The following is a 14624-nucleotide window of genomic DNA, read 5'->3' as shown; positions in this document are numbered from 1 at the left end:
AGGCCAGAGGCAGACGTGCATCTAAAGACAGGTGCCGAGAGAGGCCCTCCTGGGCTGGGACCACTCAGCCTGGGCTAGGCCTCTGCTTACTAGACACTGGCTCCCGGAGCCTTTCTGCAGCTCCTCCTTCCTCCACCTGCTTCTTTTTTTTTTTTTTTTTTTTTGGTAGAGACAGAATCTCTACATTTTCCAGGCTGCTCTTGAATGCTGGGCTCAAGAGATTTGCCCTCCTCAGCCCCTCAAAGTGCTGGGATGACAAGCGGGAGCCACCGCTCCCAGCCTCCTCCTTCCTCTTGAGCAGCACCACTGGGGTCAGCCCTTGGGCTGAGGAGATGATGTTAATCTACTAGGTCCCGTTTATCATACAAACAAGGACTAACATGCAACTGATCAGGGCTTGCTGGAAACACTTGGCTCCGGTGCAGTGTCATGGAACTGGCCTCTCTAGGAGTGGAGAGGGATCTGGTTTGGATTTTCAAACCCCTCTTTGGCAAGTTATTCTTTATGATGTGATGGATGAAGCTTGGCTGAAGGGCTGAAATTTTGTGGCCACGGAGTAAGTATATTTTCTGCAATGACAAGTTAGATCATTTACAGATCAGTCCCATTGTCCCCCTGACTGAGCCTCCGTTAAGGCAAGATGGTTTAGGGAAGGAGGGCAGCAGAGAAAAGTTGCATATTCTACATCTAAAGCTTTCACTCACCAGCTCTGTGACCTTGGGCAAACTGATTAAGATCAATGGGCTCAATTTTCTTGTCTAAACAAAACAGACCGGACTAAATAGATAATCTCAAAGATTCTAATTCAAAAATTGTAAGATGTATTCTCATTTGTAATTCCCTCTACATAATTCAACTGGGGAAATATACTCAAACATCTAATTGAAAAAGCATATTAACATTAAACTTAGAACACCTGACTTACTTAAAAACAAGAACGCTTCCTTTGGTCTTTAAGCTCTAGTCAAGGGCAAAATGGATCTGCCAGGGTTGTTCCCTACCCTCCACCCTCCAACTGGTCACCAGCTCCCCACTAGTCTCTTTCCCCTTTCTGCTCCACGCACACTCAGTCCTTTACTGAGCTAAGCCAGGTGCCACAGTTGTGCCACAGAAATCCATCCAAATACCCAGACAGTGCCAGGGCCTTTCTCTTCTCTCTCCATTCCCAACAGCCTAGTGCCTGAAAAGGCACTGTTGCCAGGAGGCCCACCTGAGATCCTCTCCCTGCACCTTGCTGAGGTTACAGTTGAGTCTGGAGTAGGGCCAGGGCCAAGGGTCCTCTCTGCTGGGGTAGGCTGCTTAGAAGGCCCTTTTGGGAAGTGTGTGTGACTCAGACTCCAGGACTTAGCACTCGAGGAGGCTGGAGTCAATTACTAGTTCCCTACTCCCCAGGCTGTGAAGAATTGGGAAAGAAACCTTTCCGGTCTCCATCCACACGGTCCTGGAATTGATTACAGAGCACTGTGGATTATGGGCAAATCTACAAAGCTTCCATCTCGTCCAGATCTGGTACTGTTAAGTGGAGGGTTTATCTGAAGCAGATTCAAACGTTCTGGTCCTCTTGAGATCTGCCCACCTGGGCTGGGTGTTTCCCTAGCACAGATTTTCTCAGGAGGTGTCTCAATTAGGGAACCAGATGACCACAGTGGAGTCTCCTGAAGAAGAGGCAGAAAAAATGCAGGTGGTTTTGTCTCTATTCTAGGAGCTGCTCTCCTGGCTTTCTGCATCTTTCCCTATTGGCTCTCTGATAGAGACTAATCTGAAACCGACTGTCCCTAGGGCGTTCAAAACCAAAACAAACAAACAAACAAAACAAATGTGATTGCAGGGCAGCTGTAAATTGATCCACAGACAATGAAAGACCTTAGTTCAGGTGTGGGCTGAAAACTGGAGGGGAGGCAGGGCTACTTAGGGAACCCAGTACTTTGCAATTTAAGTTCCTTTTGCGCTTCCTCTCAAGTTTCCTTTATTGCACTGCTCCCTCAGTTCACAGGCATGTTCTAGGAGGCAGTGGATTGGGAAACTGAAGACTTGAGTCCTGTTTCTCTTCCACTTAGTTTCTGTGTGCCTGTGGACAAATCATCTAATCTTTCTGGGTTTAGGCTTAGTTTTCAAGACAATGACATTTCTTTCATAAGCGTATGGTGAGAATGAAATAGGTAGAGGAACTTTAGAACATATTATAATTCTTGTGTTTGTTCGAATAAAGGCAGTTTCCATGGGGTTGGGGTCAGGAGTGTAAGTAGGAGTGGGTGGCATATCAACAGTTATGAAATTGAAGGTTTTTGAGTTGTTCTTGGTTAGAGCAGAAATTCAGGAGCTCAAGAAAAATAATGCCTGATGCAGACACGTTTGGGGTTTCAGGCAAGTTCTCGTTCCTGTAGTTGAGTGCACATAGGCAAGGTGGTTTAAGAACAATAACAAAACAAAAAACCCACGGTGCCCCAATTCACTACTTCCTTGAAGAAATGATGCTGGGAATTTGAGGGTACTTTTCTGATCCAATTCAGCAAAGTATCATGGTGTGGCCTATAGCAATTCCTTCCCACCATCCTACCGATAGGAAAAAATTATTCAGCAAAGTTATACATGTGTCCTCTTAATATTTAAATTTGAATCGGAGCTTGGTCTAGTGCAGGGATTATCAATTTTGGCTACATATTAAAATTATCTGGGGAGACTAAAAAAGCAAACGAATGCCTGGGACCCATCCCTAGAGATTCTGATTCACTTGCCTGGGGTATGACCTTCAGGATTTTTAATAGCTCTTGGGTGATTCTAATGTGTGGCCAAGGGTGCACACTGCCAGCTGAGTGAGACGCAGTTGGAATTACAACTTTGCAAGCTAGGTAACCTTGGGCAAGTTCCTTAACCTTTCTATACTTCAGTTTCCTCACTTTAACAATTGGAGCTGTAGCGGTAATTTAACTCATAGTGTTGGTCAGAGGACTGAGGGACATACGGAAAGTGCTTAGCACAGTGTCTGTTGTACAGTAAATTAGCTATTACTATTTTCATTACTGCTCTGTAAACTTGCCTCATTTTCTTCTTACCTTTCTTTTCCTCTCATTTCTCTGATTTTCTTGGGTCCTTTCTACATTTTTCCTATTCTTTCTTCCTCAATTATTGCTCCCTTCAGCCTTTTTCTTTTCCCTTCAGCCTTCCCCCTCCCTGCCCCCCGCTGCTTTCCGGATGTTTTCCCCTTTCCACTCCTGGGCCTGCATCTTGCTGGGGATTTATAAGAACGCTAGCAGGGCCAGCTTAAATTAATCAGAGGTCTGAGCCATGGATGATTTGAGGAGCAATGTCGTTTACTGCTGCTGCTTTCAGGGAAAGGGGATGACATAAAATAGAGATCTTGCAAATGCTTTGACAAACAGATAAAGATCATCTGTAACCAGCACATTCTGCAGTGAACACACATGTTGCTGGTAGAGCCTTCGCTCTGAAGTGGGTTAACATTCTGACACTTGCCGGTTTAAATAACAGTTTCACATTTAATTGCTTCCCCTATCTATGCCTGATAACAATAATATATATGACTGGGCCAGGATGGTGGAGCGGGATAACCATAATAAAAATCAAACCAGCCAATGTTTTCTTTGATCTGCCCATTAAATAGCGATTACATCTCAACTTGCCTCATCTCAACACTCCACTCCCACCTCCAATATGCAACTCCCAAACCACAAAACAGTGCAAGCCCATCTGGTGACAGGGTGGGCAACCCTTTCCTGTGTGCCATGTTCAAAGCCCCTCCACTCAACAGCACCACCAGTGGAAACTGAGCATGGGCTCTGTCATTTCTGGGTCTCTCAGAGTGAAAATGGAACCCGAGATTTCTGTCCGACCCCGGAAAGCCCTTGGGTCCCTACCTCTGTGCACCCTGGGGTTAGAGGCCCCCTGTCGTTCTAGTCATTCCAGGTCACTCAATTTACGTCCAGCCATGCGGTTTGCTCCCCACCTTTTTGTCAGGACCAGGGGAGCCATCTGCAGTCCCCCCTTAAGCCTAGTGATGTACGTACATTTCTGCTCCTTCTCTGTCCAAGAAGGAATCTGACTGGGGCTGGAAATGCAGGGTGGGAGGTAGAGGAAGAAGGGTGGTGCTGAAATAGGAAGAACGATCCCTTCCAAGTCTACCACTAACCTGCCATCTCCATGCCCTGAATCCGTCTGGTGGCTCTACCCTGCGATGCTCTGGGCAGGATAAGGGGAGGGAAAGGAAGAGATAAGGGAATACCAAGAACTCCTACCCTTCCTTACTCCCTCAACTTCTGGAAATGGCAACAGCACATGAAGGGCAGTAAGTGAAGTTAAAAGCTGCCAGGTATGACTTCTCTCCACTCCACTCCCCCGCTGTCCTCCTTCCCAATGTCTCTCAGAAAAACCTGTGATCTCAAAACACATGCACGCTCTCTAAATATGGTCTAAACACATGAAGTCCCCAAGAAGTTCATGGGAATTCCTGAAGGCTGGGAATCCAGCAGACCTGCCATTCCCCGTCTCCTTCGGGGGCCACAGGACGTCCGAATCCTCCCCACTTCCAAGCCCTCCCCTTCCTCCAGGATCTCTTTCCTTCTGGGTTTTGTTCTCAATCCACACCTAATCCCCTTAAAGCGATAGTTGATAAAGCGATTAGCTGATATCCCCTAGGGGTATTTATATTGTAATAAGCGATCTTAAGAATGACTGTTGGTGGCATTTCCAGCAATGTGACTGGCAGGATTGAGTGGCGCTGCTTCAAATCATATCATATAGGGCAAAAGGGAAAATTAGCATTTATTGTGTGCTGAACATGTCCCAGGCATTGTGCCAGAGGCTTCACATCATGTTATTTGGTTTGCTCAGGGTCCTGATAAGGAAATTAAGGCTCAGAGAGATAAATAATTGCCGCAAGCACACATCTAGGAAGAGAGAGAGTGGGGATTTGGAACTCCTGTCCCTCTGATTCCAGGGCTTTGCAATGGGCCAGCCTGCCTCTTCTGGTCTACCTACTTGTGACGCTGGTGAGCCCTCCGAAGATTTCTCCAGGACTGAGTGATGCCTTCACTACCTCTGCTAGGAGTGATTTGAACCAGTGCTGGGTTTTCATTCTTCCTCACTTGCAGATGATCTGTCTGAACGTCTTGGTGAACTGTGCCAGTCTGGAAGGCTGCCTGGGGTCACTCAGAGTTTAAACACACATTGTGAGAGCCCAAAATGATAAAGTGCTCCAGAAAGCAGCCCACTGACTGATCGACTGAGCCTCTTCCAGGACTGCTGGTGTGGGGACAGGAATGACTCAGCATTCGACCCCATAGTCAGTCTCTGAGGGCAAATCCAATTGCTTGCTCGCTCACTGGGATGATCCCAACCTACCATGCCTGGGCTGGGGAAGGGATTTTATTTCTCAACCAGTCACAGATAAAGATGCTTCTATATTTTACAAACAACAAAAGCCTGTATATGTATATGTTTAAAGTATATCAGATGATTCTAGGATGTTTCATCTCCTCCCCATCATTCTATCCCCGCCCCCAGCTCTGTGGTTTTTAAAAATTGGGTGCCAGTTGAGAACTCATAAATAAACCTCACCCTTGTCAAACCAAGTCTATGGGGTTATGAAAATAGTGAACTAATGGGACATTTCTAGATAACTCAAAGCGAGTCATTATTCAAAGCCATTTTACCAACTAGCTGTGGGGGCATGGTGAGAGGAGTGGCCTAAGAGAGGAGCCTCAGAAGCTAGGCAGAAACAACATAGGTGCCTGTAAAATTTCTTCCAGTTAATAAATAAGTGCTATTACTCTCAGACACAATCGTAGCCCAGATAGGGGACAGGAACTATGCAATAATACTCTTTGGCTGTTGTCCTGCTCAAGAGAAAGCAGATATCCTTGTTTATTTGCAATATTACAAGAAAAGAGAGAAAAACAACTTTCACCATGTAGGCACCAGCCTGTCTTGTCCAAAAACCCTCTACGGATGAGGGAGGTAAATATTTAGCTGGTACAGGAGAGGTGGGAGAAAGCGGGCTGATTGTTGTTCACAGTATTTTTAATATCTATGTTTTGTAATATTTTGGGTTTGGTCTCCTCTCCAGTTAACTAGTAATGTAGATGCTAGCAGATGAAGAGGGGGTGGAAGGCACTGGGCTGTGCAGAAGCAGAGGCTCCATAAGCCGGAGTTTCCTCCAGGAAAGCACTGGCCTATTCAAGCAAGTACATCCTGTCTTTTGTTCCAGAGAGAAGACGACCCTTTCCATTTTAGAGCTGGGAACAGTCTCAAGAGTTTGAAGGGCAGCTATGGGACAGGGAAGAGAGATGAATACTCCCAAACCCGGTGCTCCTCAAACTCAGTGCTGATTGAACACTGGTGTTCTGTGAGCTGGAATGAGTGTTCTGCCGTGACAGCTGCATCAGGGTTATTCTGTTTGTTTCTGAAGGGCAGGAAGAAATGAAGGGACTGGATGGTATTTCGACAATTTAACATTCCTCTCATAAATGTTTCTGCAACCACTTATCTATATTAGAACCTAGTATAAGATGGTATCTGATTAAGCAGAGATGTGTTTACTTAGTTATTTAAAGTTGACTGTCCATTTTTGTGGGGAGTTCTGCAAACAGTATCATTATTTCCAGGTACCTGCTGGCTGAACAAATTAAAGAACCAGAACACTAGTCTTTAGCTCTATCACCAGGCCCTACTCCCTCCTCAAGCAATTGTCAAAACCTAGGGTGTTAATTTTGTTAGACAGATTAAAATGGTGTCTTAAGGAGGGCTTTGGATATTAATACGTAATATCTGAACTATAATCTGGAGATTCTTTTTTCTTTTTCTTTTCTTTTTTTTTTTTGAGACAGGATCTCACTCTGTTGCCCAGGCTGGAGTGCAGTGGCACAATCACAGCTCACTGGAGCCTCAAATTCCTGGGCTTAAGCAATCCTCCTGCCTCAGCCTCCAGAGTAGCTTGGACTACACATGCATGCGCCACCACACCTGGCTAATTTTTGTATTTTTTGTAGAGACGAAGCCTCCCTATGTTGCCCAGGCTGGTCTCAAACTTCTGGGCTCAAGGGATCTTCCAACTTTGGTTTCCCAAAATGTTGGGATTACAGATATAAGCCACTGTGCCTGGCCTTGGAAATTCTTAATTACAATATCTGGAGGCAATATGGAAATAGGCAGTTTTTGATAACCGCCAAAGAACTCCAAGACTGAAGCAATTAATTGAGATGCTTCCACATCTCAATACGCAAAAAGTAGAGTCTAATGGTTAAGTGCACCAGTTTTAAAGTCTGAGAGACCTGGGTCTGAACCTTGACCTCACCGATTAGTAGCTCTGTGACCTTCGGCAAACTGCTTAACCTCTTTAAATTTCCATTTTCTCCATCTATAAAATGGAGGTAATGAAAGACCATGTATGCAGCCATGTAGTCTTCCTACCAAGAAATCCAAACAGATTATGGGTGTATATAAAGTGCCCAGGACAGATTCTCCCACATACTGAAGCTTTCAACGAATGGTAGGCAGTATTATAATCATTTCGGATGATTATTCACTCAACAAGCATTTATTGAATAACTTATTCTGGGCTAGCACTAGGCTTTGATTCTACTTTAATTCCAACAAATTTTTAAAAAATCTATCTATCTGGTATGACCCATGGGGGAGCCCCAGGGACCCCAGGTTACTGACCTGATAGAACTAGGTGTTATCCAATTAACATAAAATATCTGCTCCTCTTTGATCTATAAATGCATAGCAATGAGAACAATTCCCCTGCTTCTACCCTATTCTCCTTGCCCACTCAACAGCAGAAAAGTCTATGATCATGCCAAGAATAGCCATCCAAAGTGGCTTCACAGAGAAGGAACAGTGCTGGGACTGCTGGAAAAAGAAGGAGCTGCCCTTGAGGTGGTTTGCGTCACCAAGCCAGACTCAGGAGGGCACAGGAGGAGGCTGGATGACTTGCCATCTGCAGCCGTTGTAGTGATATCGGCAGCTTCTCTGTCATTAGGACGGCGATGGCAATTTGCCTTGAAAAATATATTGTAAAATCCAGTGAATTTCCTCCCCCGTATCTTGGAGGTTTAGGAAGAACTGAAATGGATTCCAAACTGTTTTGAATTAACAAAAAGAGCTTTTGCCTGCTGCAGAGTTCCAGCTGGAACTCTCCTACACTTTTTCTTCACAAAACAGCAAACACTCAAGGGGGCAAAACATCCACCAGAGTGTCCTGGGGCTTGTCAGCTTCACTGAGCTTTACGCTTGGCTTTGGCTGCTGGGTAGGTTTTGGGAGTTTGCTAGGGTGGCTGGCATGATGCTGCGGCGCCAGTTGCAAACATGGCTTTGCTGGAGGCAGTTTTATTACTCTTGACACCGCCCAGCCTGTCAGTAAGACTAGGGAGTGCAAGGGAAGTTATTGTTTACCATGATGACCAAGGAAGCGCTGTTCCTGGCTTCTAGGTATGGGCCTACCTTAGGGATATAGTGAATAGAGAACAGGTTGCAGCCACCAACACAAGAGTGAGTGTGCTGACCACAGTCCACTGGCCAGGGCCAGAGGGGACAGTTAGGACACCCAGGTTTCAGTGTTAGTTCCACGGTGGCACTAGTTTGTCAGATCTCAGACAAATCACTTAAGTTTACGACCCTCACTTTTCTTTCTGTGAAATGAGAATTAAAAGCCCAGGAGCGCTGTCAGGATGGAATGAGAGAATGAACATGAAATGCCCTTAAAAAGGTACCAAGTCCTGAACTTTGGTTCTAGAATAGGTTGCTGTTCCTTTCATTTAGTCTAATTCTTGCCCCCAAGCTCAGGGGAGAAAGAGAGAGAGGAGAAAGACTCGAGAAGAACTAGGTCATCTTTCTCAGCAGCTTGGTTTGAGAGCTGAGTGAACAGCAGAGACGCTAAGCCCAGGCAAATCTAAGTACCAATCAAATGGTATCAGCAGTTTTTAAGGCTGAAGTTCAATGGCAGCAATCTTAGGTAGCAACTCCAGTTTCCCCAGCAAATACTGAGTTGGGTCAAATCAGTTACTTTCATCTAAAAATCTCCTCTTTGGGTCCTCTAGGGACACCCCCATTAATCCCCAATTCCTTACCCCCGCCCACTCTTAGATGACGCACATCTTGCTCATCTTTCTTTTAGTCTGGGGCCCTAAGAGCCTTTGCTGAAGTGAAGTTCTTCTGTGAATCCACAGCCAGCTCAGAATGAGGCCAACTGGATCCCCAACAAAAGCACTTCTTTCTGAAACCACCAAAGTAACTGATAGACTTTCGAATAAATTGCAGAGGAGAAAACAATCACTCTTGTTAAGACTGGGTAGGATCAGAAATTTGTTTAGTGGATGAAAGCCTCCTGCTTAGCTGAATGGAAAATCTGGAATAGGAGGAAAAACTAATTGAGAAATTTTGTCTTACTCTAAGGAAGCACAATCGGGGAGGTGGATCTCATCCTCGATAGATGCCTGAGATTCAGATCTCACTTCATAAAGCCCAGAATTCTCATGACTGTTTCTTGTCTAGACCTTGCCTAGTAGAAACTAAGTACCTTTGAATGGCTCATTTCAAATGCTTCCCTTCGTATATGTGGGTAGGAATACAAACTGCTATGAACGTACACATATGTGTATGTATGTATCTATCTACATGAGTGTGCATGTAAACTTCTTGATAGGAAAAATAGGACTTTGTTAATTCTATTTTATCCTGAGGGCAAAGCCCTTTACTTTTCACTTATACCTTTCTGTACTCTCAATTATAAAATGACCATGTAATACTTTTATTTAAAAAGTTAACAAAAACTATTAACAAAGAGTATGTAATGACATGGGAAATTGACTAAGTGAAAAGAATAGACATGGGATATATAGTATGCTTAGGAAAAATATTTGAAATAAATTAAATATTAATATATTTTCAAATTTTATTAAAAATAAAATGTGCCTTAAAATAGTAGATAAATAGTCTGGGTGCAGTGGCTCATGCCTGTAATCCCAGCACTTTGTGAGGCTGAGGCAGGTGGATCATGAGGTCAGGAGTTTGAGACCAGACTGGCCAACATTGTGAAACCCTGTCTCTAGTAAAAATGCAAAAATTAGCTGGGTGTAGTGGTACATTCCTGTAATCCCAGCTACTAGGGAGGCTGAGGCAGGAGAGTCACTTGAACCCGGGAGGCGGAAAACCCGGTTGTAGTGAGCCGAGATCGCACCACTGCAAGACAGAACGAGACTCCATCTCAAAAAATAAAATAAAATAAAATGAAGTAAAATAAAATACTAGATAAATAATATCAACTGTTTTTCTAATCTGGTTTTTCAAAATTTAATATTTTTCTTCTGGCAAACCTCTTATATACTGGAATCTCATCCTTTTTTGCTGAATTAATCAAAGATACCAGACAGCCAGGGATTAATTTAGGAAGTAAATTTGGTCAAGATATTAAACCATGCCAGGTAGTATATTTTTGTTCTATTAAACATAACGTCGGCCGGGCATGGTGGCTCATGCTTATAATCCCAGCACTTTGGGAGGCCGAGGCAGGCGGATCACCTGAGGTCAGGAGTTCGAGACCAGCCTGACCAATATGATGAAACCCCGTCTCTACTAAAAATACAAAAATTAGCCGAGTGTGGTGGCATGTGCCTGTAATCCCAGCTACTCGGGAGGCTGAGACAGGAGAATCCCTTGAACCCGGGAGGTGGAGATTGCAGTGAGCCGAGATTGTGCCATTGCACTCCAGCCTGGGCAACAAGAGTGAGACTTCGCCTCAAAAACAAAAAAACAAAAAACAAACAACAACAACAACAAAAACCCACAATATCAAGTAGTTATTTTAAAGTGAATCACGACTTGACCCTGGACTTCACAGCTCCAAAGGTAAACTATGCCATACTGTGATCTATTTGCACCCTAGGCATTTAAAGGCCGGTATTCCGCATGATGTGATGGTAGAGAGTGTAGAGTCTGAGCCAGCATGCCTGGCTCACAATCCTGTCTCCATCTTTTGCTAGCCACGTAACCTTGCGCAAATGAGAAAACCTCTCAGTGCTTTGGTTTCCTCATTTGTAAAATGGTCCTTACTTCCCTGAATTGTTGTGAGGATTGAATAAATATGCATGAAGTGCTTAGAACACTGCCTGGCACACAGCAAGTATTAAATAAATGTTTGCTATTCTTATGACTACTGCACTATGCACCTGATTTCAGAAACATTCTCCTTTCAACTGGACAACAAAAGATGACAAAGGGATCGTGCTCTTTATAATACATTGTGCAGTTATATACAGTTTACCACTATCCCCCGACGGGTTTTTCACAGAGGATACACTGTAGAGTACATACAAAAAGCTCACCTAAAGTCCACTTCAATAGGAAAACTTGCCACTTAAAAACAATTTTTATACAGAGAGATGAAAGTAAAACTTTCTTCTACTCATGAGAGGCTAATGAAAGTAATGTTTAGATTGTGCGTGGTGGCTTATGCCTATAATCCCAGCGCTTTGGGAGACCAAGGTGAGAAGATTGCTTGAGGTCAGGAATCTGAGATCAGCCTGGGCAACATAATGAGACCTCATCTCTACAAAAAAATTTTTAAAATTAGCAGGGCATGTTGGTGTGCAGCTGTTGTCCTGTCTACTTGGGAGGCTGAGGTGGGAGAATCACTTGAGCCCAACTGTAAAATGGCCACGTATTACTTTTATGAAGTAGCATGATCATAGCTTACTAACTGCAGTTAGAAGCTGCAGTGAGCTATGACTGTGCAACTGCACTTCAGTCTGGGTGACAGAGTGAGGCCCTGTCTCACAAAAAAAAAAAAAAAAAAAAAAAGGAAAAAAAAAAAAGAAAAAAAAAAGAAAAAAGTCACACTCAGAAGAAAATCTGGCTTTTGGAATTGGTTAGTCAGATCATGTACTACTTGCAGGGCCAAAAATACAACAAATTGCTAAATAACTAAATTTATTTCTATGTTGTGTGTTCGGTTCACATTGCATTCTTAATCACAACCAACTACCTCACAAAGGTACTTTAAGGGAAGCCATCAGAGGAATCCACACAAGAGAGTGGGTGGAGGTCAGTAGGTATTCCTTAATTCCTGATATCACAAAAGCAATTCAAAGTAGTATCTTACTGATGGTGGGGCAGGAGCATGATTTGACCAGAAATACTTAGTGGTCCCTTCTCTACATCAAGTGAGCATTGTCTTAAGCAAAGTTATACATGCCATTACTTACAGGAACCAAAGATTAGACTGGCCTCTAATCTTCCTTTCTGGAAGGAAAAGAAAGAGACAAAGAAAAGAAAAGAAAAAGAAAAAGGAGAAGAGGGCATTTGACTGGAAAAAATATATTGTTGAGGGATGAAAGAGAAGATCCTGGGTTACTTATAACCTTCACACCGCAAACCTATGACACTCTTTCTTGGTACAGTGTTTTGCACGTGTAGTGATGATTCATGGCATCATGCCACTGGCACTTAAAGTGACAATGCAGACTAACACTAAGGAAATCCAAAATTCTTTTGGCCACCCCACCATCATCCCACCCTCTTTCATAGAAGATCAAAAGACAAATCTTACCTCCACTGAGAATAATGACAGCAATAAATATTGCCAAGTCGCTGTCATCTAATTCCAGTGCATTGAACTTCACAGCAAACTCAAACTTGGGCTCCATAAAGTCACCAAAAGGCTTTCGCAGGCTCTTTAGAAACTCCCTTGTCATGAAGCCTTGGCCCTCGGATATGAGAACCCCATCTTTATTCATCAAGGAGGCCAGCATTGTGTAAATGATCTCGTGGACTCCATATTTGAGGAGAGTTACTTGGTCGTTCAAGTCAAGATTTACAAAACCAGGAATGCTTTTGGCATACTCTGTGATCTCCTGCACAGCCTCCACGGAGCGAAACTGGCAGCCCTGAAAGATGCGGATGGCCACCTCTTTGCTCTGCTCCTGCAGGGGGGTGATGTGTTTGAACTTGATTTTATCTTCTCCCATCATTAAGGAATTCATGTCATAGATAACGAATGGCTGCAAATAAAACAGGGAAAACGTGGATGACTTGGAGATTTCTAACTCACAGTGAATGCCATCCCAGGTTCAGAAAACTGTTTATGTAAACTTGCTTTGCTAACTAAAATCTTTAAAGCTGAAGATGCTTAATAATGAGAAAATACTCTCAAGTTCTTTTATTCATCTTAATTATCTTCTGGGACCAAACATATTTCACCAATTTTGGTCTTCTTTCCCTTCAATTTACACTGTAACACTTTACCTATGACTGGCTAAGAATCCTGATTTCTTTTGTTTGGGGAGTCTTCATTGTTGATTTTTATATTATTTGTTTGTTTGTTTTTGAGACAGAGTCTCACTCTGCGCCCAGACTGAATTACAGTGGCACAATCAGGGCTCACTGCAACCTCCACCTCCCAGGTTCAAGCAATTCTTGTGCCTCAGCCTCCTGGGTAGCTGGGATTACTGGCATGCACTGCCACACCCAGCTGATTTTTGTATTTTTAGTAGAGATGGGGTTTCACCATGTTGGCCAGGCTGGTCTTGAACTCCTGGCCTCAAGTGATCTGCCTGCCTTGGCCTCCCAAAGGGCTGGGATTACAGGCATGAGCCACCACACCCGGCCGATTGTTGATTTTTAAAATGATACAAAATCTACTGTTTATCTTGGCTTTCAATGAAATACACTTTTAACCTTCTTTCAATAAAAAACCATTTCAGCAACTCAGCGTTGAAAATACCCACTTGAACATAAAGTAACTACAGGTTTAAAAAAATTTTTTTTTCTTAAAATTTCTTTTTCCTTTTCCTTTGTTCTCCTTCACAGGTAATAACTTTTCCGTTTTAGATGAAATCCTCTCAGATCTCAAATGAAACTATGTGCACATAAAATATGCTTAACTATGAAAAATCACTCGGAAAGCAGATTACAGCTCTTGAACCAAGAAAATGTCTATTTCTTTTTTTAATGCTCTGGAAGCCATCTATTTCACAAAGAGCAGATATAGAAGGCCTACAGGTGAATGCTGCAAAAAAGCAATTTTGAATTTATATTTTAAAATATCTGTCCTTATAGGTCAAACAATCAATAAAATACATGCCCCAATTATTCAAGTTTGCAATAGGCTGCCTTCAAAAGTTAAGTCATTTGGTCATGACATTCTCTCTCTTTTACTTCCCTTGTATAGAACTAAGCAAGGTTTGTAGTCATTGAGAAATTCTCAAGGCTGTTCTGACTAAGGGGTAACATTTTACTTACACTGGATACACTGAATGACACATAAGGAGTTAAACCTTGAATCCTGTTCAAATACTTGTATACCTGAAAGCACTGGAAGAAGAGCTGAGGGTATGTGTGTTCCAGCTTTGGTTCTGTGGTGAGCCATGTGACTTAAGAAAAGTCATTTACCTTTCCTAGGCCTTAAATTTCTCAATCAGGGGTTTCCATCTCTTCTCCGGAGGAAATTCTAGTTGCATTTCTCAGAAGCAGGATGTGTGTGGGGAGTGGGCATATGTGTGGAGAGGTGTGAGTGTGCATGCACGACAAACATGAAGTCTCTGATGGACTAAAAGTAAAGATTGTTTTGAGCAGAGATGCTGACAATTCTCTCCTGAAAGGAGAGAAGGTGC

General features: G+C 43.3%; 1 protein-coding gene across 14 annotated transcripts in view; it reads right to left on the bottom strand.

The window, feature by feature from the left end:
- Positions 1-14624, bottom strand: part of PPARG (peroxisome proliferator activated receptor gamma) — a 146977-nt gene that overhangs the window by 4628 nt on the left and 127725 nt on the right. For 9 of the 14 annotated variants that reach the window (NM_001354666.3, NM_138712.5, NM_005037.7 and 6 more), the window contains one exon: positions 12563-13013. The exons of the other annotated variants lie outside the window; for them this stretch is intronic. In NM_001354666.3, the coding sequence (NP_001341595.2) occupies positions 12563-13013 (451 nt within the window). The remainder of the gene's footprint in view (positions 1-12562; positions 13014-14624) is intronic. 14 annotated transcript variants of the gene reach the window in all.

The sequence above is a fragment of the Homo sapiens genome, chromosome 3 (assembly GCF_000001405.40).
Source record: "Homo sapiens chromosome 3, GRCh38.p14 Primary Assembly".
In the NCBI taxonomy this organism is placed as follows: domain Eukaryota; kingdom Metazoa; phylum Chordata; class Mammalia; order Primates; family Hominidae; genus Homo; species Homo sapiens.
The sequence above is the reverse complement of the archived record's forward strand: the minus strand, read 5'-3'. Positions and strand labels throughout refer to the sequence as shown.